Source organism: Homo sapiens, chromosome 10 (genome assembly GCF_000001405.40).
Source record: "Homo sapiens chromosome 10, GRCh38.p14 Primary Assembly".
Lineage (NCBI taxonomy): Eukaryota > Metazoa > Chordata > Mammalia > Primates > Hominidae > Homo > Homo sapiens.
Window position 1 is genome coordinate 77,952,536 of NC_000010.11, and position 25,320 is coordinate 77,977,855.

General features: G+C 46.5%; 1 protein-coding gene and 1 pseudogene across 1 annotated transcript in view, besides 2 other annotated features; one reads left to right on the forward strand and one right to left on the reverse strand.

The window, feature by feature from the left end:
• H2AZP5 (H2A.Z histone pseudogene 5) lies at positions 960-1,347 on the forward strand (annotated as a pseudogene).
• Positions 18,573-19,083: an enhancer, noted in NCBI's record as "H3K27ac hESC enhancer chr10:79730866-79731376 (GRCh37/hg19 assembly coordinates)". NCBI's record gives its function as "activates a minimal SCP1, AML or CMV promoter by ChIP-STARR-seq in naive H9 embryonic stem cells {active_cell/tissue: H9 hESC(naive)}" and the evidence as "EXISTENCE:reporter gene assay evidence [ECO:0000049][PMID:30033119]".
• Positions 18,716-19,010: an enhancer, noted in NCBI's record as "tiled region #9595; HepG2 Activating DNase unmatched - State 5:Enh, and K562 Activating DNase unmatched - State 5:Enh". NCBI's record gives its function as "activates a minimal TATA promoter and a strong SV40 promoter by Sharpr-MPRA in HepG2 and K562 cells {active_cell/tissue: HepG2 | K562}" and the evidence as "EXISTENCE:reporter gene assay evidence [ECO:0000049][PMID:27701403]".
• Positions 22,614-25,320, reverse strand: part of POLR3A (RNA polymerase III subunit A) — a 54,367-nt gene continuing 51,660 nt past the window's right edge. Inside the window, exon 31 of the mRNA NM_007055.4 lies at positions 22,614-25,091. Coding sequence (NP_008986.2) covers positions 24,943-25,091 — 149 coding nt within the window. The 3' untranslated portion in view covers positions 22,614-24,942. The remainder of the gene's footprint in view (positions 25,092-25,320) is intronic.

Genomic DNA, 25,320 nt, shown 5'->3' on the forward strand with positions numbered 1-25,320 from the left:
TTCCTCCATTCCTTTTTCTCTGTTGTTTTTTGTTTATTTTTGTTTATTTTTTTAATGGAATTCCTATTATTCAGGAAGTGGAATTCCTGTATTAGGCCTCTAATTTTCTTATCTATTCTCTCCTATTTTCTGTGACTATGTTTTTGTAAGATTTCCTCAATTTTATATTCCAATCCTTCTACTGAGTTTTTGATTTCTCACATTATATTTTTAAGTTTAAAGAGCTCCTTTTTTGTCCTTTGAATGTTCCCCTAAACAAAAAAAAACAATAGTGGCCAGGCATGGTGGCTCATACCTGTAATCCCAGCACTTTGGGAGGCTGAGGTAGAGGACTGAGATCAGGAGTTCAAAACCAGCCTGGGCAGCAAAGTGAGACCCCATCTCTACAAAAAAATAAAAAAATTAGCTGAGTGTGATGGCATGTGCCTGTAGCCCCAGCTACATGGGAGGCTGAAGCAGGAGGGTTGCTTGATTCCAGGAGGTCAAGGCTGCAGTGAGCCATATTCGCACCACTGTACTCCAGCCTAGGTGACAGAGTGAGACGCTGTCTCAAAAACAAACAAAAACAACCAAAACCCCAACAGTATTGTGTTTTTGTCTCAGGTTTATATATTTGCATATGGAATGTCTATATAAATTATGTTCTTGCTGGGCATAGTGGTTTGCACCTGTAGTGCCAGTTCCTGGGGACGCTGGGGCAGGAAGATCACTTGAGCCCAGGAGTTCTGGGCTGTAGCATGCTATGCCGATCGGGTGCTAAGTTCGGCATCAATATGATGACCTCCCAGGAGCAGAGGACCACCAGGTTGCCCAAGGAGGGGTGAACTGGCCCAGATCAGAAAAGGAGCAGGTTGGCAGTTTAAATTGCATTGCATTGAAGAAATAGGTGGTGGGATCTTGCTGGGTGTTTGATTAGCCCTTTCTCTGTCTTGCTTGTTTGAGCTTCAGCAGAATTCAAAATGACTGGCAATAAGGCTGGGAAGGACTCTGGAAAAAAACAAGACAAAGGCGGTTTCCCACTCGCAGACAGCTGGCCTGCAGTTCCCAGTGGGACATATTCATCGACACCTGAGATCTAGGACGACCAGTCATGGGCATGTGGGTGCAAATGCCGCAGTGCATAGCATAGCCATCCTGGAGTAACTCACCACAGAGCTACCTGAACTGGCAGCAAAGGCATCAAAAGACTTCAAGGTAAAGCGTATTACCCTTCGTCACTTGCAACTTGCTGTTTGTGGAGATGAAGAATTGGATTCTGTCATCGAGGCTACAGTTGCTGATGGTGGTGTCATTCCACACACTCACAGATCTCTGATGGGGAAGAAAGGACAACAGAAGGCTGTCTAAAGGCTGCCTGGATTCCTTATTATCTCGAGACTCTAAGTACCTTACCAGCTGTCCAGCGTGGTGATTCCAGTAGGCTGTATCTCTGTGAAAAACATAATTTCATCTTTTTCTTTCTTTTTTTTTTAGACAGAGTTTTGCTCTTGTTGCCCAGGCTGGAGTGCAATGGCATGATCTCAGCTCACTGCAACCGCCTCCTGGGTTCAAGCTATTCTCCTGGCTCAGCCTCCTAAGTATCTGGGTTTACAGGTGCCTGCCACCATGCCCGGCTAACTTTTGTATTTTTAGTAGAGACGGGTTTCATCATGTTGGTCAGGCTGGCCTCGAACTCCTGACCTCAGGTGATCTGCCTGCCTCGGCCTCCCAAAGTGCTGGGATTACAGGCGTAAGCCACCACCCCCAGCCCAATTTTGTCTTTTTGTAATTGTGTCTGAGCAAGTTGGAAGTTTAATTAGCTTTCCAACTGACCAATTTCTGCATTCTAGTCTTAACCATATTTAATTGTTACTATGGCTTCAAAGAAGCTATTGATTCCAAAGTAGTGGGTTTTGATTGAGTTTTTTAAAAACTGGATTTTAACAGTGATGCAGAAGTTATAGTAACAAACATTTGGTTTTGTACAGGCATTATTTCCACTCTGGTGCATAAGCTCAATAAAGGTCATATCCCAAACTAAAAAAAGAAATGGAGCAGGTCAAAACTCCCATGCTGATCAGTTGATCAGTAGTGGGATTATGCCTATGAATAACCACTGCACTCCAGTCTGGGCAACATAGCAAGACTCTGTCTCAGAAAGGGGGAAAAATATCCATGTAAGTATTATGTCTGTTTTTGATAGTATTGTGTTCTTGTTTCAGAAATGCATGTTTGTTTTTGTTTGTTTGTTTGTTTTTTTGAGACAGAGTCTTGCTCTGTCGCCCAGGCTGGAGTGCGGTGGTGTGATCTCTGCTCATTGCAACCTCCGCCTCCTGGGTTCAAGAGCTTCTCCTGCCTTGGCCTCCCATGTAGCTGGGACTACAGGCGCCTGCCAACGTGCCTAGCTAATTTTTGTATTTTTAGCAGAGGCAGGGTTTCACCATGTTGGCCAGGCTGGTCTCGAACTCCTGACCTCAAATGATCCACCCACCTCGGCCTTCCGTGCTCAGCCTGATGCATATTTTTAAGATCTCGCTAAGAAATAATAATGATAGGGTTTTTGCCGTATTTTTAAAAGTTCTCTTTTCCCTGCATAAAATAGTTTTCTCCAAGTAGGTTTTTCCATTTATTTTTATCTCTGCCTTTCATGTTAGAGACTTTGGTCAGATGTCTGATGACTTGGTTATCTGAGTAGGGGCACTAAAAAGCTGATTGAAAAGTCTGAGCACATGGGGAGAACTTTTTGACTATGAACTTCATTGCAGGGTGATCTGGCTGAGCCATTCATTGTTATCAGTATCTTAGGTTTTTGTTTGTTGTTTGTTTGTTTGTTTGTTTTTTAGCTAGTCAGATTCTCCAAAATACACTCTTTCACTGATCACCTGGAGTTACGAAGCCCTGGGAGCTCAGTGAATGAAGAAGGCTGGGGTTTCACACTACAGCTGTAAATGTTTGCTTAATCCCCTGCTTGAAGTACAGATCTCTCTTACTAGCTGAGTCCAGAATCCTCTAGAGACCATGCAGTTTACTTTCTTCCGGGAATAAACTTTATTTATTTATTTATTTAGAGACGGAATCTCTCTGTATCACCCAGGCTGGAGTACAGTGGAATGATCTCGGCTCACTGCAACTTCCGCCTCCTGGGTTCAAGAGATTCTTGTGCTTCAGCCTCCTGAGTAGCTGGGACTACAGGCACATGCCACCATGCCACACTCATTTTAGTATTTTTTATAGAGGTAGAGTTTCTCCATGTTGGCCAGGCTGGTCTCGAACTCCTGGCCTCAAGTGATCCACCCGCCTCAGCCTCCCAAAGTGCTGGGATTACAGGTGTGAGCCACCATGCCCAGCCATCTCCTGGGAATAAACTTTAATCTCCCGCCAATTTTCTGGATGGCAGGATATGGGGAGGGCATTTGGGGTATATAATTTTTTCTTAAATTTTCAAACAGTTCTCTTGTTCTTAAGCCCCACGTTCACCTCTAATTCTGGTGCCAATTCCTGAGCCTGTTGGAAATTCCACAGAGTAAATCTGGTTACTTTTAGCTTCTTCTCCTGTTCAGTTTAGGACTCAGCTCTCTTGGATCTGCTAAATTAGTTGCCACTTATTCATTTGTTTTCCAGCTTCCAAGAGGGCATAGTTGTCTCCATTCCCATTGCTAACTCATGGCCCACTCTGCGTGTGTATGATCTTTCTAGGATCTCAAGTGAAAACCTCAGGTCTTCGCCAAGGTCTCTCTACTCTGGCTGGGGCCAAACTCCAACTCTCCTAGCCCTGAAAAGCCTCTGAAACTTCAACTCAGCTGTCTAGCTGCAGAGGCTATTCTCTACTCCATCTGCAGAGTCTTGCCCTGTGTATGGGAGTTTAGGAGTCAGCGAAGCCTCAAGAAGGAGAATTTTAAAATAATCAACTTCTGGCTGGGCGCGGTGGCTCATGCCTGTAATCCCAGCACTTTGGAAGACTGAAGCGGGTGGATCAATTGAGGCCAGGAGTTTGAGACCAGCCTGACCAACATGGTGAAAACCCTGTCTCTGCAAAAATACAAAAATTAGCTGGGCGTATTGGTCTGAGCCTGTAATCCTAGTTACTTGGGAGGCTGAGGCAGGAGAATCACTTGAACCCAGGAGGCAGAGGTTGCAGTGAGCCGATAGTCTGCCACTGCACTCCAGCCTGGGCGACTGAGTGAGATTCCAACTCAAAAAAATAAAATAATCAACTTTGGCTAGGTGTGGAAGCTCATGTTTGTAATACCAGCACTTTGGGAGGCTGAGGATGGAGGATCACTTGAGCCCAGGAGTTTGAGACCAGCCTGGGCAACATAGTGAGACTGCATTTCTATTAAAAAATTAACAAATTAGCAGGGCTTGGTGATGCATACCTGTAGTCCCAGCTACCCGGGATGCGGAGGTGGGAGGATTGCATGAGTCTGGGAGGTCAAGGTTGCAGCAAGATGCGATCGCACCACTATTTTCCAGCCTGGACAATAGAGGGAGACCCCAACTCAATAAACAAAATAAAATACAATAACTTTATTGATTTAAAATACAGTACGTTGGGATTTAAGATGAGCAATGCCAATCTCATCGTATTTTAGCCTATTGTAACTATCACTGCCTTAGTAAAATTACTAGGAAATGGTCTAGGGCAATTTTTTTTTAATGTTCATTCAGAGTGTTGGTGATGATGGGTGAGCTTGACAAAGGCATTCTTCAAAAATAAAAACTGGCCAGGTGTGGTGGCTCACACCTGTAATCCCAGCACTTTGGGAGGTTGAGGCAGGAGGATCACTTGAGCCCAGGAATTTGAGACCAGTCTGGGCAACACTGGGAGACCCCATCTCTACAAAAATTAAAAAATTAGCTGGCCATGGTGGTTTGCACCTGTAGTCCCAGCTTCTCGGAAGGCTGAGGTGGGAGGATCACTTGAGCCCCAGGGGACAAGGCTGCAGTGAGCTGTAATCGCTCCACTGTGCTCCAGCCTGGGTGACAGAGCGAGACCCTGTTTCAAAATAAATAAATACAAAATGTAATTAATATATTGATATACTTACAATAAAACTCACTCATCTTAAGAGCACAGTTTAATGGCTTTTGATGAATGTAAACACATGTGTAACCATCACCACAATCAAAATATAGAATATTTTTATCCCTCAAAAAGCTTCCTTGTGTCTCAAGAAGGATTTTTATGCAGAATTTTTGGGTTTCTGCTCTGTGTCTGCTTCCTCTCCCCGAAATCCCTGTTGCCTCAGCAGCCTTCACTCTCATCTGTTTTCCCCAGCTAGTAACACTGCTAGTCTCTCCTTGGACACTGTTTCCCATAGTCAAGAAAACGTCTTCAGCGTGAAAGCAGGGGTGAACTCTCTTAGTGACCATAGCCCTGTACTGGTTGATGTTGCATATCTGCAAAGAGTTATTTACTATATTTTGTCCGGGCTTTATATTCACCCACAGCAGAGGCCAAGGAAAGATAAATATGATACCCACTACTCCATCAGACACCTCCATCAGACCTAGAACCAGAGGCTTTAAAATACCTTTTTTTTTTTTTTTTGAAAGGGAGTTTTGCTCTGTCAATCACGCTGGAATGCAGTGGTACAATCTTGACTCACTGAAACCTCCACCTCCCAGGTTCAAGCTATCCTCCTGCCTCAGCCTCCCGAGTAGCTGGGACTACAGGTGCATGCCACCACGCCCAGCTAATTTTTGTATTTTTTTAGTAAAGACAGGGTTTCACCATGTTGACCAGGCTGGTTTCAAACTCCTGACCTCAAATGAAGTACCCAAAGTGCTGGGATTGCAGGCATGACCCACCTAGCCTGACCTAAAATAGATTTTTAAATACACATTTTTCACATTTTCTTGACATGCTGGCTAAAACGGGGAACATGCAGAAAACACTTCACCAAAGTCTCTTCCTTATGGCAATAAGGAGAGCCCTTGTATTTGGAGCTCTCCTGGTATCTTGAAGATAATCCAAAGAGAATGAATCTAGTGGTGCTGTATTCTGCCACTTCCTCATTGGGTAGCCTCTGGCCACTCCTGGGGGGTGAGTGGTGGTAGGATGTTGTGATTGTCAAACCAACTACCTGGGAGGCCCTGTGGGGTGTGATTTTTATTTATTTATTTTTTGAGACGAAGTCTTGCTTTGTCACCCAGGCTAGAGTGCAGTGGCGCGATCTCGGCTCACTGCAACCTCCACTTCCCAAGGTCAAGTGATTCTCCTGCCTCAGCCTCCCAAGTAGCTGGGATTACAGGGGCCCACCACCGCCCCTGGCTAATTTTTGTATTTTTAGTAGAGACGGGGTTTCACCATATTGGCCAGGCTGGTCTCGAACTCCTAACCTCGTGATCACCTGCCTCGGCCTCCCAAAGTGCTGGGATTACAGGCGTGAGCCACTACGCCTGGCCAGGGTGTGATTTTAGAGTCAGATGGAGCAGGGTTTGCATTTTGGCTCTGACATTTACTGTGTGCCTGGGGAAAGTGATGGAATCACTCTGGGCTTGGTTTTCTTATTTACAAAACAGAGAGAGTGATACCAATCTTGGAGGATCATTAGAAGAGTTAATGATGTAGCATATCATATGCTCAGCTGAGTGCCTTCTACGTAGCAACATCCAATATGTGATGGCCACTGATAGCTCTATTTATGGACAGGAAGATGCTTTGTACCCTGTTAAGTAGTTCATAAACTTGGTGGTCAGCATCTTTTGGACAGCCCAGCGTCTAAATCCCCCTTCCTCCACTGTGTGAAGGCCTCCCCTTGCTTCTTGTTCCCCAGGACAGGAATGATAGATATTCACTGTCCCCGTTCTTGCTCTGTGGTGGTCAGTGTGGCTCACTGGATGCTCCTGCTAAGAAAAACGGGAGAATGTTATTTGGGTAGTGGAGGCAGAGGCAGCACCGGGTCCCTTGGCATGGAACCCAGTGTCCTAACCGGACCATGCCTTGGGTGGGATCCAGCTGGACTCTGCTGCCAGTAACCCTTGTTTTTTGCTCATTTTCTCATCCTGGGTTTCCAGCCTTCCTGATGATTCTGTGAGCTGCCTGATATGTTTCCAAAAACATGACAAAACAAAGCTTTTCCACTTCATTAACCAGATTTGGTTTCTATTTCTTGTTACCAGGAACTCTGATTAATACACTTGGCGCCAAAAACAATGCAAGTTATTAAAAACAGGGCCATGAGGTCTGACACACCTGTGGGACTGAGAACGCTAAGTGAACACACTTGTTCTCCTGGTTGCTCTCTTAGCCTTAAGGACAGGCAACTCATGAAAAAAGAAAAATAGCCAAGAAAATCTGAACCTCAGGAGTAAACAAAGAAGTAAAAATTAAAACAGATAGGGCCAGACACGGTGGCTCATGTCTGTAATCCCAGCACTTTGGGAGGTTGAGGCAGGCAGATCACTTGAGCCCAAGAATTCAACACCAGCCTGGGCAACATGGCAAAACCCGTCTCTACTAAAAATTCAAAAATTAGCTAGGCATGGTGTCACGTGCCTGTAGTCCCAGCTACTCAGGAGGCTGAGGTGGGAGGATGGCTTGAGCCCCGGAGGTGGAAGATGGTAGTGAGCTGAGATTGCATCACTGCACTCCAGCCTGGGTGACAGAGCAAGGCCCTCTCTCAAAATAATAAATAAAGAAAATAAAATAGATAACATTTTCTCTTGTCAAATTGATAAATGCCCATACATAGATAAATACATGTGCATATAATGAAGTGATAATAGCTGGTGTTGGCAAGGGAGCAAGTGTCCCACAAGGCGACAGAGAGAGTGCACAGCCTGGGCCAGTCCCAGGGAAGTCCAGCGGAGTGATGGAAACTTACTATTTGAGAAACACTTTAAAGACGGCTTACTGTTGTCTGAGCCGTTTTTCTTTTTTGGAGATGGAGTCTCTCTGTGTTGCTGAGGCTCGAGTGCAGTGGCACAATCTCAACTGACTGCAACTTCCACCTCCTGGGTTCAAGTGATTTTCCTGCCTCAGCCTCCGGAGTAGCTGGGATTACAGGCACCCGCCATCACACCTGCTAATTTTTGTATTTTTAATAGAGACAGGGTTTCACCATGTTGGCCAGGCTGGTCTTGAACTCCTGACCTCAAGTGATCCACCAGCCTCAGCCTCCCAGCCTTCTGGATTACAGGAGTGAGCCACTGTGCTCGGTCTCTGAGCCGTTTTTCTATAGGACAAGAGCAGGGACAGTAATTACTCCCATATGCATGGTTTTTCTGGGAAGTATGACTTGGCTGTGCCTTTACAAAAAAGTATGGTAAAATATATGTAACATAAAATGTACTATCTTCACTGCTTTTAAGTGTATATTTCAGTGAAATTAAGTACATTCACATTGTTGTACAACCAATCTCCAGAACCGTTTTACTGTTTTCATCTTACGAAACTGAAACTCAGCACCTTTAAACAATAACTCCCCATTTCCCCCACCCCCTACCCATAGCAACCACCATTCTATTTCGTTTTTACCAATACGACTGCCCTAGGTATGTCATATAAGTGGAATCACACAGTAGGTGTCCTTTTGTGATTGGCTTATTTCACTTAGCATAATGTCTTCAAGGCCCATCCATGCTGTAGCATGTGTCAGAATTTCCTTCCTTTTCAGGGCTGAATCATATTTCACTATATGTATAGACCACATTTTGTTTTGATGGACACTTGCGCTGCTTCTGCTTTTTGGCTATTGTGAATAATGTGGCTGTGGACATGGGTGTGCAACTATCTATTCATTTGTAGCCTGGGTACCAGCTCGGGTCACCTTCTTTTGATACTTTAATAAAATTGACTTGAAATATACATACAGCCGCCCACTACCCCAAACAAAAGAGAAGGGAAGCCTTCCTAGAAGTTGATGTAGTATCTCAAGGTGCCCCCTGCTCCCCATGGAGACCCTGATGACACCACTTCTGGAGTGCCAAGTGCTGCACCAGGACTCTACTGCTTTTGTTCTGACTGCAGCCTCACGAGGTGGGCAAGGCCACTGCTGTCCCATTTGGGCCTCTTTACAAATGAGGAAAAGACGCACATTTTCCCTGGCAAAACTCCAGCTTGGACAGCAGAGTAGGGAGCACATTGGAGGCCCCACTCAGGTCCTTGGCATGGCTCCCTTGCACAAGGTACAGCCTACACTATTCTACATGACAGCCCTGAGGCAGGCATGGCTGGCAACCCAGCCTTACTGGTGAGAAAAGCGAAGCACAGAGGTGAGGAGTCTGCAAATTTTTTTTTAACTTTTTTTTTTTTTGAGACAGGGTCTTGCCTGTTGCTCAGGCTGGAGTACAGTGGCACCGTCGTGACTCGCTGCAGCCTCGGCCTCCCAGACTCAAGACATCCTCCCACCTCAGCCTTCGAAGTAGCTGGGACCATAGGCATGCACCACCACATCCTGTTAATTTTTTTTTTCTTTTTTTTTGAGGCAGAGTCTCACTCTGTTGTCCAGGCTGGAGTGTAGTGGTATGATCTTGGCTCACTGCAGCCTGTTTCCCAGGTTCAAGCAATTCTCCTGCCTCAGCCTCCTGAGTAGCTGGGATTACAGGCACGTGCCACCACACCTGGCTAATTTTTTTGTATTTTTAGTAGAGACAGGGTTTCACCATGTTGGCCAAGCTGGTCTTGAACTCCTGACCTCAAATTATCCATCTGCCTCAGCCTTCAAAAGTGCCGGGATTACAGGTGTGAGCCATCGCACCTGGCCTCACACCCTGTTAATTAAAAAAATTTTTTTTTTGTAGAGATGGGGTCTCCTTGGGTTGCCGAGGCTGGTCTCAAACTCCTAGGCTCAAGTTCTCCTCCCACCTGGGCCTCCCAAACTGCCGGGATTACAGGCATGAGCTCCTGCGCTGGGCCTAGAGTTTGCAAGTTTGAAGCCTAGGGAGCATGTAGCCGGCTTTCAAATGTAGATCTTATTTATATTCACATATGGTGAGGCCAGGAGATCAGGATCTGATTGCTATCGAAAGAATAATTGTTACTCACAGTTCCCAAGTAGAGAGGGCGGGTCATACCAGGCAGGGCCAGGAGTGGAGGCCTCAGGGTGGTCAGAAGGCAGAGTCAGGGAGGGGAAAATGTAGGCAGGAGCATTTGCTGTGTTTCTGAGGGAAGGAATGGTCGAGGCAGGGTAGGAAGCAGGCCTAGAATTGGCTACTGTGAATAATTTCAGTGGGCTTGTCAGTGGGGTGTAAGGGCTGGGGAATAGTGGCCTGGAGCGTGAGAACCCTGGAAGGGCCCTGTAAAGGGAATAGTTGGAAAATAGACTCTGGATTGGTTGGTTGGTATACAAAAGGCATGCTCACAAGTGAGTCCCTTACCATCTCTAGCCATGGGAGGGGCAGTTTCTCTAGGGTCAGCAAAGCCCCAAGATGTCAAACATCAGAATAAAGACATGCTTAATACAAAGACAAAGCCTAGGTTCTGAATCCCTTTGCCATCATTTTTTAACCCTTTCTCTGTCAGTGGCTTTCAAACCTTTGCATTTCTTTTCCTCTGGCAGGGCACCCCTTTTCCTAAGTGAAATCTTGAGGCAGCCCAGTCTGTTAAAGAACGCTGCTCTGGCAGAAGGGAATTGTGGGGAGGGACCCTATCACCTGGCACCAGTTCATTTTTATTTTTAATTTTTTTTTGAGAGACAGGGTCTCACTCTGTTGCTCAGACTAAAGTGCTGTGGTGTGATCATGGATCTCTGTGGCCTTGAGCTTCTGGGCTTGAACAATGCTCCCACCCCAGCCTCTCAAGTAGCTAGGACTACGTGTGCACACCACCATGCCTGACTACCCGTTCATTTTATTTTATTTTTTATTTTTATTTATTTATTTTTATTTTTTGAGATGGAGTCTCGCTCTGTCACCCAGGCTGGAGTGAGTGCAGTGGTGCAACCTTGGCTCACTGCAACCTCTGCCTCCCGAGTTCAAGTGATTCTCCTGCCTCAGTCTCCCGAGTAGCTGGGACTACAGGTGTGCGCCACCATACCTGGCTAATTTTTGTGTATTTTTAGTAGAGATGCGGTTTCAACCATATTGGCCAGACTGATCTTGAGCTCCTGACCTGTGAACCTCCTGCCTCAGCCTCCCAAAGTGCTGGGAGCCACTGCGCCCAGCCCCCGTTCATTTTAGAATCAGTCTTCAAGGCTGCCCCACGGAGAGTCTTCTGGTCCCCCTTAACAAGAGCAGAAAAGTAAAAGGATAGGCAGGGGCAGGGCACTTGGGGTGGCTACTCAGTGGTTATGTGGCCCTGGGTCAGTGCCATCCCTCTCTCCTTTTTAAACATCTTTATTGAGACATAATTCACATAGTATACAATTCACCCATTTAAATTGTACAATTCACTGGCTTTTAGCATATTTGCATAATTGTATATCTATCACCACAGTCAGTTTTAGAACATTTTCATCACCCTAAGAAGAAACTCCTTAGCTCAGGGGTCCCCAACTCCTGGGCCACAGACTGGTAAGAGTAATGGTCCACAGCCCAGCCTGTTAGGAACCTGGCCGCACAGCAGAAGGTGAGCAGTGGGCAAGCGAGTGAAGCTTCATCTGTGTTTACAGTCACTCTGCATTGCTCGTATTACCACCTGAGCTCCACCTCCTGTCAGATCAGCAGTGGCATTCAAGTCTCATAGAACCATGAACGCTATTGTGAACTGCGCATGCGAGGGATGTAGGTTGTGCCCCTTATGAAAATCTAATGCCTGATGATCTGAGGTGAAGCTGAGGCGGTGATGCTTGCCCTGGGGAGTGGCTGCAAATACAGATGAATGTTAGCAGAGAAGTTTGCCTGCACAGAGACCATCATAAATCAATTGCTTGCAGACCCATATCAAATCCCCATCAGTGAGTGGCAAGGGAAAATTAAGCTGAATCTGGTGGCAGGTTTTATGGTGGCAAGTGAGTCAATGTACTTCAGTTGCACAGCTGCCTTGAAAGTATCTTTGAGACAACTTCAAGTCTCTGTACGTTCTGGATTAAAGTCAAGGCAGAATGTCCTGAGACTGCCAGAAAAACACTGAAAAGCCTGCTTCCGTTTCCAACATCCTATCCTTGTGAAGCAGGGTTTTCCTCAGTGAACCAAAATGAGATTATGGAGTAGACTGGGCATAAGCAACACACTTAGGGTATCCCTGTCTCCCAAACCCCCTAGATGGGACCGTCTAGTTGCAGGAAAACAAGCTCAGGGCTCCCACTGATTCTACATTATGGTGAGTTGTATAATTATTTCATTATATATTACAATGTAATAATAATATAAATAAAGTGCACAATAAACTGTTATGCACTTGAATCATCTGGAAACTACCTCCCATCCTCCAGCAGTCTGTGGAAAAATTGTCTTCCATGAAACCAGTCCCTGGTGCAAAAAGGTTGGAGACCACTGCCTTAGCTGTTCTCTCACCCTGATTTCTCCTCTCCCCCAACCCTAGGCAACCAATAATCTACTCTCTGTTGCTTTCAATTTCCCTATTCTGGACATTCCATATGAATGGAATCATTTACTATGTGATCCTGTGTGGTCTTCTATGACTGGCTTCATTCACATAGTATGTTTTCAGAGTTCATCCATGTTGTAGCATGTATCAGAACTTCATTCCTTTCTATGATTGAATAATATTTCGTTGTATGGACAGATCACATTTTGTTTATCCATTCATCAGTTGATAGACTTTTGGGGAGATTCCATTTTTGGGTACTACGGATAATGCTGCTATGGACATTTTCGTGCCAGCTTTCGTGTGGAGGTATATTTTCATTTGTCTTGGGTGTCTACTAGCTAAGAGAGGAATGGCCGGGTCATGTGGTGTCCATATGTTTAATTTTTTGAGGAACTGCCAAACTGTGTCTCAAAGTGGCTGCCCCATTTGACATTCCTACCAGCAGTGTAGGAGGGTTCTGATTTCTCCACATCCTTGCAAATACTTGTAATTGTTCATCTTTTTATTCCAGCCATCCCAGTGGCCGTGAGGAGGTATCTCATTGTGTGTGGGTGTTTTCTTTTTGAGACAGAATTTCACTCTTGTCACCCAGGATGGAGTGCAATGATGCAATCTTGACTCACTGAGATTACAAGTGTAAGCCACCGCGCCCGGCATCAGCCATGTGTTTTTCAAAAAAAATTTCTTTTTTCTATTCTGTTTTTTGAGACAGGCTCTCTGTTGCCCAGGTTGGAGTGCAGTGGCACGATCTCGGCTCACTGCAGCCTTGACCTCCCAGGCACTGATCCTCCTACCTCAGCCTCCCAAGTAGGTGGAACTACAGGTGTGCACCACCACGCCTGGCTAATTTTTAATAGAGACAGGGTTTCACCATGTTGTCCAGGCTGAAATTTTTATTTTTTGTTTTTTGAGACAGGGTCTTATTCTGTCACCCAGACTGGAGTGCAATCTTGGCTTACTGCAACCTCCACCTCTCGGGTTCAAGTTATTCTCCTGCTTCAGCCTCCCGAGTAGCTGAGACTACAGGTGCACACCACTACACCCAGCGAATTTTTTTATTTGAAAAAAATGTTTAAAAAAAATTTTTAGGCCAGGCTCAGTGGCTCACAGCTCTAATCCCAGCGCTTTGGGAGGCCGAGGCAGGTGGATCACGAGGTCAAGAGATCGAGACCATCCTGGCCAATATGATGAAAACCCGTCTTCACTAAAAATACAAAAATTAGCTGGGTGTGGTGGCGCACGCCTGTAGTCCCAGCTACCCGGGAGGCCGAGGCAGGAGAATTGCTTGAACCTGGGAGGCGGAGGTTGCAAAGAGCTGAGATCGTGCCACTGCACTCCAGCCTGGTGACAGAGTGAGAATCTGTCTCAAAAAAAAAAAAAATTTTTTTTTAAAGAGGGTCTCCCTCTGTTGCCTAGGCTGGTGGTGCAGTGGCACAATCTTAGCTCACTGTAACCTCAAACTCCTGGGCTCAAGTGATCCCCCTGCCTCAGCCTCCCAAAGTGCTGGGATAACAGGTGGGAACCACCTTGCCTGGCTCCAGTGTGGTTTTGATGCACACTTTCCTGGTGGCTCACCTTCCCTGCTTCTCTTATACTCTCTGCAAAGGGAGAATCCAGAGGTTTCTCAAGTTCCCTGAGGGGTGCTGTCACGCCCCTTTCCTCCCTGTCACCACACTCCCTACTCCCCACCCCCCACCTACAGCTGTGATTCTCCATGGTGCTGAGAGGAACCCTTCGTGAACTCAGGATGTCAAGCTAGAGAGACCTTCATCTTCATCCAGTCCAAACTGCTAAACTATCTGACAGGTGAGGAAACTGAGGCCCAGAGGGATGTGGGTTACTTAATTAATGGTGCCTGGCATGTTAGTGGCAGAGCTGGGTTGAGACCAGAGAATCCATGCTTGCACAGGGGACAAGGAGCTCTGGGTTTGATTCTAGACTGTCGCCATGACTGTGCCCTCCCTCCCTCCCTCCCTCCCTCCCTCCCTTCCTTCCTTCCTTTTCTTCCCTTTCTTTCCTTTCTTCTTTCGAGACAGGGTCACACTCTGTCACCCAGGCTGAAGTGCAGTGTTGAGATTATGGTTCACTGCAGCCTTGACCTCCTGGGCTCGAGTAATCTTCCCAGCTCAGCTTCCTGAGTAGTCGGGATTATAGGTGTGCACCACCTCCAGCTAATTTTTAAATATTTTTGTAGAGACAGGGTCTCACTCTGTTGCTCAGGCTTATCTTGAACTCCTGGGCTCCAGTGATCCTCCCGCCTTGGCCTTCCAAAGTGCTGGGATTACAGGCATGAGCCGCCACTGCCGGCCTTGTGGGCCACTTTCTGAACCTTTCTGAACAGCAGTTTCCTCATCCATATAATGGAGATGATACCTACCCTATGGGGTTGTTTTGAGCATATAAAATATTTAATATAGTAAGTAAATAACTTATTTAATTTTGGAATAATTACTATTTAAGTGCCTATGATAAAAGAAAGTCAAATAGTACAAAGGAGTATAACGTGAAAAAGAAACCTCTTTCTCCAACCCCGTCCTGGGGGCCACCATTACCACCAGACTCTTGTCTTTTCTGTCAGATCTCTTCTATGGATATAATGGAAGTTATTTATCACATGGGACCTTAGAGTTGGAGATCATTAACTTGCCTGCTTTTCTAAGCTGGTCTTTCCCACTTTGCCCCTTCAACCCCCCTTCTTGTGGCAGCACACAAACCGTGGGCCTCCCTTATTTGTCCAGCTCCCCCTTCCCAAGCCCCCTCCACCTGGTAATGATTTCCTAGAGCGTCTCCCAGGGGTCTCCATGGGGACGTTTCCTGCTCCAATCTCCATGGCAACTCTTCAGGTTGCCATGGTGACACTTAAGCGATTATTTGGAGACCCTTAAATAAATCACCCGTGGTGGTATATGCTAGACGTGTTTGGCTCTGGCTCTTGTGTTTGGGGCCAGGGTTGGGGCCCAGGCCCGAAGGCAGAAAATGTGGGGAGGTGGGAGATGGTGGTCAGAGCCCGATGCCCTTGGTCTGGCCCTGTGAGGGGCCCTCTTTGGGCAAAATTGGAATTGAGCCTTTTGTGAAGTGGTGGGAGGACAACAGGCAGTTATGCTTGTGCAGTCCTTAAATAGGGAGACCCTGCAGCCAGCAGGACATCTTAACTCTGATCAGGATGGGGGCAACTTGGAGCTATGCAGTAACCAAGCAGGGATTCCACTCCAGGCCTGCTGGGCTCCAAGGCCCTCACTCCTCCTTGACGTCAAATTCTAAAAGGGAATTTAAGATGGAATCCACTCCTTCATATATTCATTTATTTGACCGATGTGTTTAAAGTGGCTACTATGTGCCAGGCACTGTGTGCTAAGCATTGGGAATACAGCAGTGAATTAAAAAACAAAACCCCTGTCCTCATGGAGCTTATATTCGACCAGCGAGAGGCAGACAATTAGCAAAACAAAACATCCATGGCCGGGCGCAGTGCTTCATGCCTGTAATTCCAGCATTTTGGGATGCCAAGGTGGGTGGATCACCTGAGGTCAGGAGTTCGAGACCAGCCTGGCCAACATGGTGAAACCCCATTTCTACTAAAAATACCAAAATTAGCCGGGCATGGTGGTGTGTGCCTGTAATCTCAGCTACTTAGGAGGCTGAGGCAGGAGAATCATTTGAACCCAGGAGGCAGAGGTTGCAGTGAGCTGAGATCATGCCATTGCACTCCAGCCTGGGCAAAAAGAACAAAACTGTCCCCCCTCTCCCCATCCCCCCTCCAAAATGCAAAAAAAAAAAAACCACCCAGGTTAGACAGTAGTTTCAGTATTAGGGAAGGGGCCTAGAGAACAGCAGGGTAAGCTGTGGCACACACTGACACCAGGGCCGGGTTGGGGGGGGGTCCCAGGCACCGTCTTGGGGCTCAGCTTCAGGTCCCAGGACAATTCCTGAAAGGTAAGAGGGTGAGGTATGGAAGGAGCTAGCCAATACTTGAGACTCCATCAGCAGTGACCAGCTCCCTCCGCGTGTTCTGCCTAAGCGATGTACAAAGCTTTCCAGCTTCTAGATGCCTCACGGATGCTTGGAAGCAGAAATGCATGGCTGAGACTTTAATCTCCACTATATAGACTGGGAAACAGATGCAGAAGGGAGGCAGCCTGCCGAAGGCAATGCCGCTAATGGCAGGCAGAAAGGTGGCTAGAACTGGAGTCATGGCTATCCCAGTCCAGGTCCATTTCTGCCAGACCAGTGGATTTATCACCAGATCTGCAAATTCATACTTCCCTGAGTGCTGTCTTACTGAATAAGTAGCTTATCTTGTACATGAGGAAGATCATGTTGTCTATGGGGAGAGATTGTGATTTACCTGTAACACCAGTGTCAGGTGATTATACCATGCTCCCTGACTCGGAGCTTTACTGCAGGCCACTCGGGTCAGGCCTGTTCCTCGGTGGTGGAACAGACTGCAAGGTACAAGAACAGGCTTCTTCTAGCCTCCGACTTCCCCAGCCCACTGGCACTCCTCCCAGAAATGAAGTTTGGAAGCACAGGCCTACTTAAGGCCTGGACAACCCAAAAAGCTTCCTGAGAAGGTGATGAGACTCGGGTCTGGATACACTGGGCTCTCTTCATGTTTTTTCCCTTTCCTTTCTTTTTCTTTTTTTTCCCCCTGAAACAGGGTCTTCTTCTGTCACCCAGGCTGGAGTGCATTGGCGCAATTTTGGCTCACCGCAGCCTCTGCCTCCCAGGTCCAAGCGATTCTCATGCTTCAGCCTCCCGAGTAGCTGGGACTACAGGCACATGCCACCATGCCTGGCTAATTTTTGTATCTTTAGTAGAGATGGGGTGTCACCATGTTGGCCAGGCTGATCTCGAACTCCTGACCTCAAGTGATCCATCTACCTCGGCCTCCCAAGTGCTGGGATGCTGGGATTATGGGTGTGAGCCACTGCACTTGGCCTTTTCTTTTTTAAAAAAATTAGATCCATATTTTTAGGACGAGTTCATTTGGCTGGTGAGTTGTTCCATACTCCTTGGCAGATTCCAGCTTCCATGACTACCATCCTGCTTCTCTTTTCTGAGTGTGGACTATCCACCTTCATACAGGTCTCAGGGTTGGGGCCAGGCTAGCAGGAAATAGAAAATCATTTCTGGTTAGCCTAAGCCCCAGGAAGCATTTACTGGAAAGTTCTTGGAGAGTAAATGGAGGAGCTGAATGGCCAACCCCTAGGCTATGTGGCTACTGAGCATGTGAAACTCGCTATGTGCTAAGTGTAAAATAGACACTGGAATTGGAAAACTTAGTATGAAAATAAGAGTGTAAAATATCTCAGTCATTTTTATATTGATTACATGTTGAAATGACATTTTGGGTACGTTGGGTTAAATAAAATGCATTGTTAAAATTAATTTCTCATTTTTTCTCCCTAGGCTCAGGTGATCCTCCCACCTCAGCCTCCCAAGTAGCTGGGATTACAAGTGCGTGCCACCATGCCTGGATAATGTTTTGTATTCTTTGTAAAGACAGGGTTTTGACATGTTGCTCAGGATGGTCTCAAACTCCTGGATTCAAGCAGTACTCCTGCCTCAGCCTCCCAAAGTGCTGGGATTACAGACGTGAGCTACCATACCTGGCCAATACTAGATTTAAAATTACATATGGGCCAGGAGTGGTGGCTCACACCTGTAATCCCAGTACTTTGGGAGGCCGAGGTGGGTGGATCACGTGAGGTCAGGAGTTCAAGACCAGTCTGACCAATATGGTGAAACCCCATCTCTACTAAAAATATGAAAAAATTAGCTGGGCATAGTGGCGTGTGCCTGTACTGCCAGCTACTTGGGTGGCTGAGACAGGAAAATTGCTTGAACCCAGGAGGTGGAGGTTGCAGTGAGCCAAGACTGCGCCACTGCACTCTAGCCTGGGCAACAGATCAAGACTCCATCTCAAAAACAAAAACAAAAACAAATTACATATGACTTACATAATTACTGTCATCTATATTACTATATACTACAGTACTGCTGGACAGTGCTGTGACTAGATTAATTCCACAAGGAAAAGAGCCATAGGAATATTGCTCATCATTCTAAACCCAGGACCTGGTATTGGCGCCAGGATATAGTAGGGGGTCAAAAAAGTGTTATTTGTTGAATGAATGTTTGACAGTCACATTTTCCATCAGCCCTGAAACATTTTAAACAGCCTGCAAAGGGAATGTGATCTAATTTAAATGTCAGTTTATATATTTAAAACAAAACAAAACAAAAAAACCCCACCGTAACTCAAGCATGAAATTTGCAAGAAGGGGAAAGGAAAAGGGAGAATGAAGGGATCAGGGTCTCAGTCTCTTTTTTCTGAGGGATTAGGGGGATATTCTGACCTTTGTCAAGCCAAAAAAGAAAAAAAGAAAGGTCCTGCCCATCAGAGGCAGAGATACGATCATCCTCCACTTCCTGTGGCCCTCCCCCTCTTTCTTTGCTAACAGAGGCGTCTATTTTTAGCTAGGCACATGGCCACCCAGAGTCCAAACATTTTCCAGCCTCTCTGGAGCTGGGTTTGGCTACGTAAGTTCTGGCTCATGGGATGTAAACAGAAGTGTCAAGTAACTTTTGGGAACTTTCCTTAAAGGGAAGTGCTATGTCTCTTTCCCCTTCTCCTGGCTGGAATGCCTAGAACCTCAGCAGCCACATTGAACCATGAGGAATGGTGGAGGGGTGGTGTAGCAGAAGGCTGGGAGGGGCCTGGGTCCCTCCCCGACAACTTGGTGAACTGTCGTATCAGCCTTGGAATGCCTACTGTGGACTTTTCATGTCAGAAAAGAAAATCCTATGTATTTCAGGCTTGTTGACTTGCATTTTTTGGTCACCTTGTCCTAACTGGTGACTGGTGCCTACCAGCCTTACGTTGCTATCACTGGAAGGGACCACTCAACTACCTTGAGAACACTCAAGTACCTTCCCGGACAGGGTCTGCTCCAAGATGACTGGATTTCTTTACCATCAGCTGTTGATTTATTTTTTTGAGACAGGGTCTCACTGTGTTGCCCAGGCCGGAATGCAGTGGATCTTGGCTCACTGCAGCCTCCACCTCCTGGGCTCAATTGATCCTCCCACCTCAGCTGGGACCACAGATGTGAGCCATGATGCCCAGTTAATTTTTTTGTATTTTTTGTAGAGATGGGGTTTTGCCATGTTGCCCAGGCTGCTAGGTATTGATTAAAAAAAAAAACAAAAACTGGCAAGACCTTCAGAAGGTACAAAATTAGAAAGGTACAATAGAACAGAGTGAAGCCTGGGCAACATGGTGAAACCCCATCTCTACCAAAAAAAAAAAAAAAAAAAAAGAAAGAAAAATTAGCTGGGCAATGTGCCTGTAGTCCTACTCGCTCTGGAGGCTGAGATGGGAAGGACTGCTTGAGCCTGGGAGGTGAAGAGGTTGCAGCGACCCGAGATCATCACGCCACTCTACTCCAGCCTGGGCGACAGAGCATGAACCTGTCTGGGAAAACAAACAAACAAAAAACATAGGGTCACTTCCTACCTCTGTCCTTGTCATACCCATTTTCTGTTCCATTCTTCTTCTTCTTCTTTTTTTTTTTTTTTTAACAGGGTCTCACTCTGTTACCCATACTGAAGTACAGTGGCGTGATCTTGGCTCATCACAACCTCTGCCTCCCAGGATCAAGTGATTCTCCTGCCTCAGCCTCCTGAGTAGCTGGGATTACAGGTGTGTACCACTAGTACCCGGCTAATTTTTGTATTTTTAGTAGAGACGGGGTTTCACCATGTTGGCCAGGCTGGTCTTAAACTCCTGACCTCAAATGATCCACCAGCCTCAGCCTCCCAAAGTGTTGGGATTATAGGCATGAGCCACTGTGCCCGGCCCTAATATATTCTTTTAAAGAGAGAGAAAAATGTTAAGTTCTCCCTTATGGGATACCTTCTTACATAATCTAAATACATAGCTGTTGTCAACATCCATACCTCTACAAAAAAACCTGCCTGTCTGAATTATTCTGGTCTTACTACCTGTGACTCTAAAATGAGATCACGCTTACCTTATGGCCTGCATTAAAGTGTTCAAGCCCTCAACCACACAGTGGCCACATCCATCCCCTTCCCGAACCCTTCTCCCCCCCCATGTAAAATACTTCCCACGACCTACTGATTGAGCAGACAGCTGGGTAGTCATTATGTCTAGGGAGGCTGGATCCCAAGTCCACCAAGCTCCACTTAGGGTCAAATAAAGAGAGCCAGGGGATTGGTTTTTAGTTGTGAATTCACAGACCATGTTTTTCAGTAAAAAAAAAAGTCACTGTATTAATAATTGCAAACATTTAATGTGTATTATGTGCCAGGCACTGTACTAAGACCTTTTTATGTGTAATCACGTTTAAAACTCACAATGACCCAATGAGTCAAACACTACTAAACAGTATTCCTAGCTTATAAATGAGTAAAGTGAGGCAAGGAGAGGTTAAGTAATTTGTTCATGTGCACCAGATGGAAAGGGAGAATTGACGCTGGGCATGGCGGCTCACGCCTGTAATCCCAGCACTTTGAGAGGATTGCTTGAGCCCAGGTGTTCGAGACCAGCTGGGCAACATATAGCAAGACCTGTCTCTATTTAAAATAAAAAAAAAAATTATAAAAATAAAAAAAAGAAAGGGGGAGTTGGGATTTAAATCCTGACACTGATTGTAGAACTCAGGCTCTTAACAAGATGACCCTGACCAGATGGTAAGCTCCATTCATGCAGGGACCTTCCCCAAGGGCCTAGTGCACTGCCTGGCACAGAGCAGAAGTGTAGCAAATATTAATGGATTCAAATGTTCACACGCTAACACTGCCAGTAGGTTGAGGAAAGGATGGTGGCAACGTTTCCCAGTGACTGCAGGCTTGTGTCCTCGCTCAGGGCACACTCCCCAGAATCCAAGCCTAAGGTAAGGAGGCCAAATTAGTGTCATGAGAGGCCCTGTGGGAGGGGTTGGAACCAGAGGGCTGCAGCCACAGAAGGACCTTTCTTTACCCTGGTGGGCCTGATGTGCCCACGGGAGCACAATCCCTTGATCTGCAGCTTCCACCCCAGAGTGTGCTGGACACACTTCTGCACACTGAACCTGAGCCTTTTTGCTTCACCCGCTTCTGTGGAATTCCTTTTAGATGTATTAACATCTTTTTTTTTTTTTTTTTTTTTTTTTCTGAGATGGAGTCTCGCTCTGTCTCCCAGGCTGGAGTGCAATGGTGTGATCTCGGCTCACTGCAACCTCTGTCTCCTTGGTTCAAGCAATTCTCCTACCTCAGCCTCCCCAGTAGCTGGGATTACAGGCACGTGCCACCACACCCAGCTAATTTTTCTATTTTTAGTAGAGACGGGGTTTCACCATGTTGGCCAGGCTGGTCTCCAACTCCTGACCTCAGGTGATCCACTCGCCTCGGCCTCCCAAAGTGCTGGAATTACAGGCGTGAACCACCGTGCCTGGCCAGATGTATTAACATCTGATTCACCTATTGTGTTTACTGCTGCACCCCTAATACCTAGAACAGTGCCTTGGAAGTAGCAAGCCTTAAATCTTTGTTGAATGAATAAAAGTTAAGCTATGCACCTGATCCTGGCCAGACGGCCCTTCAGACTCCAGACTTGAGTCCTTTCAGCGCCTCCTACTGGGACTGGATTAGCTGCATCTCAGAGGGCACTTTATTTCCTACATTTCTAAGTCACAGGGGTGGGGGTAACTGGGGCATTCACTGTTGACCTCCAGCACCCGAAGAGGTGAGCTCCTGACGGGGGTTGGTTCTCATTCTAGGAGTTAGAACTCATACAAGGCCAACGTCCTTTTTCACAACCCATAAGGATGATTCTGCTATAGTTTTAGGTAACGCAAATATTTCCTCTCTTGGGTTTTGGCTGAAAAATAAAGAGGTCTGCCAACAGACAGCAAAAATCAAGAAAAGTAAACATACAATGCCAGGTTCAATCAGACATGAATCAATGGGAATACACATGGATAAACCCTGAAATAGAAACACGGCACCATAGTTTAACTGACACATATATATACTGAAGGACTCCAGAATGTCTCTCCCACCCCTAAAGTGCTGAACACTGCAGGGAGCTGTAACTGAGTCAGGAGCTATTTTAATCTCCCTTGTAAAAAAGACGTAAAAATGGCAAAGAACTGGACAGAATGCTAGTCAAGAATTTGTAACTATTCATGGATGAGATGGAATTCACACGTATTTTTATTTCTTCCAAGCAGGTACAGAGACTCAAATGTAACCCTTTGAGCTCTCATGCTTGAGGATGTGCTGCTACCTGGCCTTTGAGCTCTGTGCTGGCATAAAGCCCAAGGCCTGGGCAGGGCAGATGATCAAAGTAGGGAGAATTTTAACACCAGTCATGGGACACAGTGGGGAGCACAAACAGTAGGGTTTACCAGGCAATGCTGTTGATGTTGATAGTCCTAGCAAGGCTGGCAGTTCCAGGAGGAGGACCAGCACCTCCAGGACGTATGACTTCCCCCCCTACCCATGGGTGATGTGATCCTTCACATAACCATTCTGCTCCAAGGTCTGCCTTGTTCTCAAGTGCTATACGCTGATTCGCACCCATCACAATCACACACGTCTCACACAGACTCCAGACCCTGCAGCGCCCAACTGAGTACTCACTCACGCAAGGTGAGGCTCCTTGGCGGTGCCATCTTTATTATTCCCAGCCACAAGTTATAGCCACAACCTCTCTTCCATTTAAAGTGTGCGTCACCCGCAGAAGACAACAGGTGCCGGAGTTCACTCCTATGATTCAATTCTACCCTCCCCTGGCCTTTGCACGGATCCCAGTGGTCCTGGCTCGGATCAGGCCTACAGCTTACTTCCCAGGCATGCTTCCAGGAAGGCAGTTGGGGTGGGGGGTACCCCTTTATGGCTCTTCCCAGGTTACATGAGAACTGGTGATCTCGGTGGGGTCTCAAGTAGAAGCCCTGAATTAGTGTTCATTAACAAACTTAATCCTTTGTCCTAAACCAGGCTCTAGCTCAATTCAAAGATAAAGGGGGGTTAAACATTAAGAAAAATGGCATTTTTTTTCCACATCACTGATACCCCAAGAGAAGTTAATAGGTCTACCTTGTAGATGCAGGGAAATCAAAAGGTCAAACTATAATTTTTTATAAAAACTAATTTTTTTTTACGCTTAATTTTTTTCTTTTTTTTTTTTGAGACAAGGTCTTGCTTTGTTGCCCAGGCTGGAGTGTAGTGGCACGATCTTGGCTCACTACAACCTCCACCTCCCAGGCTCAAGTGAACCTTCCACCTCAGCCTTACCAATAGCAGGTACTACAGGCATGGGCCACCATGCCTGGCTAATTTTTGTATTCTCTGTAGAGACGGGGTTTCGTCATGTTGCCCAGGCTGCTCTCGAACTCCTGGGCTCAAGTGATCTGCCCCCCTCGGCCTCCCAAAGTGCTGGGATTATAGGTATGAGCCACAGCACCCAGCCCAAACTACAAATTTTAATAGAATTTTAAACCCAACCACTGGCCAAAAATCACTCGGTCACGAATTCCTAATCCACAATCACATCAGTAGGAAGGGAAAGCACTCATTCTAACACAGATCCAAGAACCAATGGCTACCCCGGGTACCTTAACAGCATCAACTCAGAACTTAAAAAATCAACTAGAGATCATCCAAGGAACGTAAGTATAATTCTACAAAAAACCATCTCATCCCCATTGCAGCAGGCCCCAAACTCCAGTGAGGCTTCCATAGGCCATGGAGAATGGGTTTGGCTCTTGTCACAGGGTAGAGCCCCATGATAGGGGTCTGAGGTAGATGAAAACAACAGGGTAGCCAGGGGCATCTATAGAAGATGTTACAGAGCTGCCTGGGCCTCATGACAGTTGCACCTCAGTTACAAATCCCAGACGGCTCTATTTGCTTAAACCAGTTTTTCCAGTGACGCTTACATGCTGACTTTCTTGGTTTCTATAGATGCTTGGTTTCAAAAATAAAACTAAAATAACAAAAATTCCAAATCCCTCAAATGGAACAAATAAATAATAGTAACAATATTTACATAAGTATGTCACATTGAGAGATTCCAGCATGACCAAGGAATGGAAAATCCAAGAATGTGCCCTGGCCTGTGTGGGGCTCAGGCCTGGCTCATCGTCAGGTGTGAAGACACCATGGGGAGCCGATGGATGTATGCAGTGAGCTGGGATGGACCATGACACCTGGCTGGGCTTTAAGTCCAGGGAAGCAGTGTGTGCACGAGCTGTGGGGCCGTCTATAGATTAGGTTTCAAGCAAGCAAACAATAAAACCCTCAGCTCTCCCGAGCAGCGTGGCACAGTCAGGGTCACTGGTGTGAGCTGCACCCTATCAGAGGAGAAGCTGCTCCTGGGGATGCCAAGAGGGCTTCTCTGATTGCTGGCATAGGTGGGGACCTCAGGACCCCCGTCCCAGGGAGCACAAAACTCTTTATACATCAGCTGGAGACAGGACAAGGAGTCAAGGTCAGGCATGGTCCCCTCTTTCTTTGGACTATGTGACAAGGGGGATGTGGAATTCATTTGTGTCGAAGATCAGGGGCCTCTTGGGAGGGTTCGGGTCCCTGTCAGCCTTGTGAAGCAGCTTGAAGAGCCCGGTTCCAATGTTCATTGGGATTCCCATGATGATGCACTCAGACACCCCTGAAACCAACCAGAATGAACATCAGAGAGCCTCTAAACACAAGGTACATTTTCACGAAGAAAGACTATTGGCTTAAGTGTCAGAAAATTAGGATGTGAGTCCCAGCGCCACTCCACATCAACTGAACTTTGGCAAATCCCTTTCCTTCCCATCTAAAAAGGGTGGCTGTGGAGTGCAGACAGGGGGATTCTGCACTTTCAGGGAAGGGCAGGGCTTGCTCACAGCCCA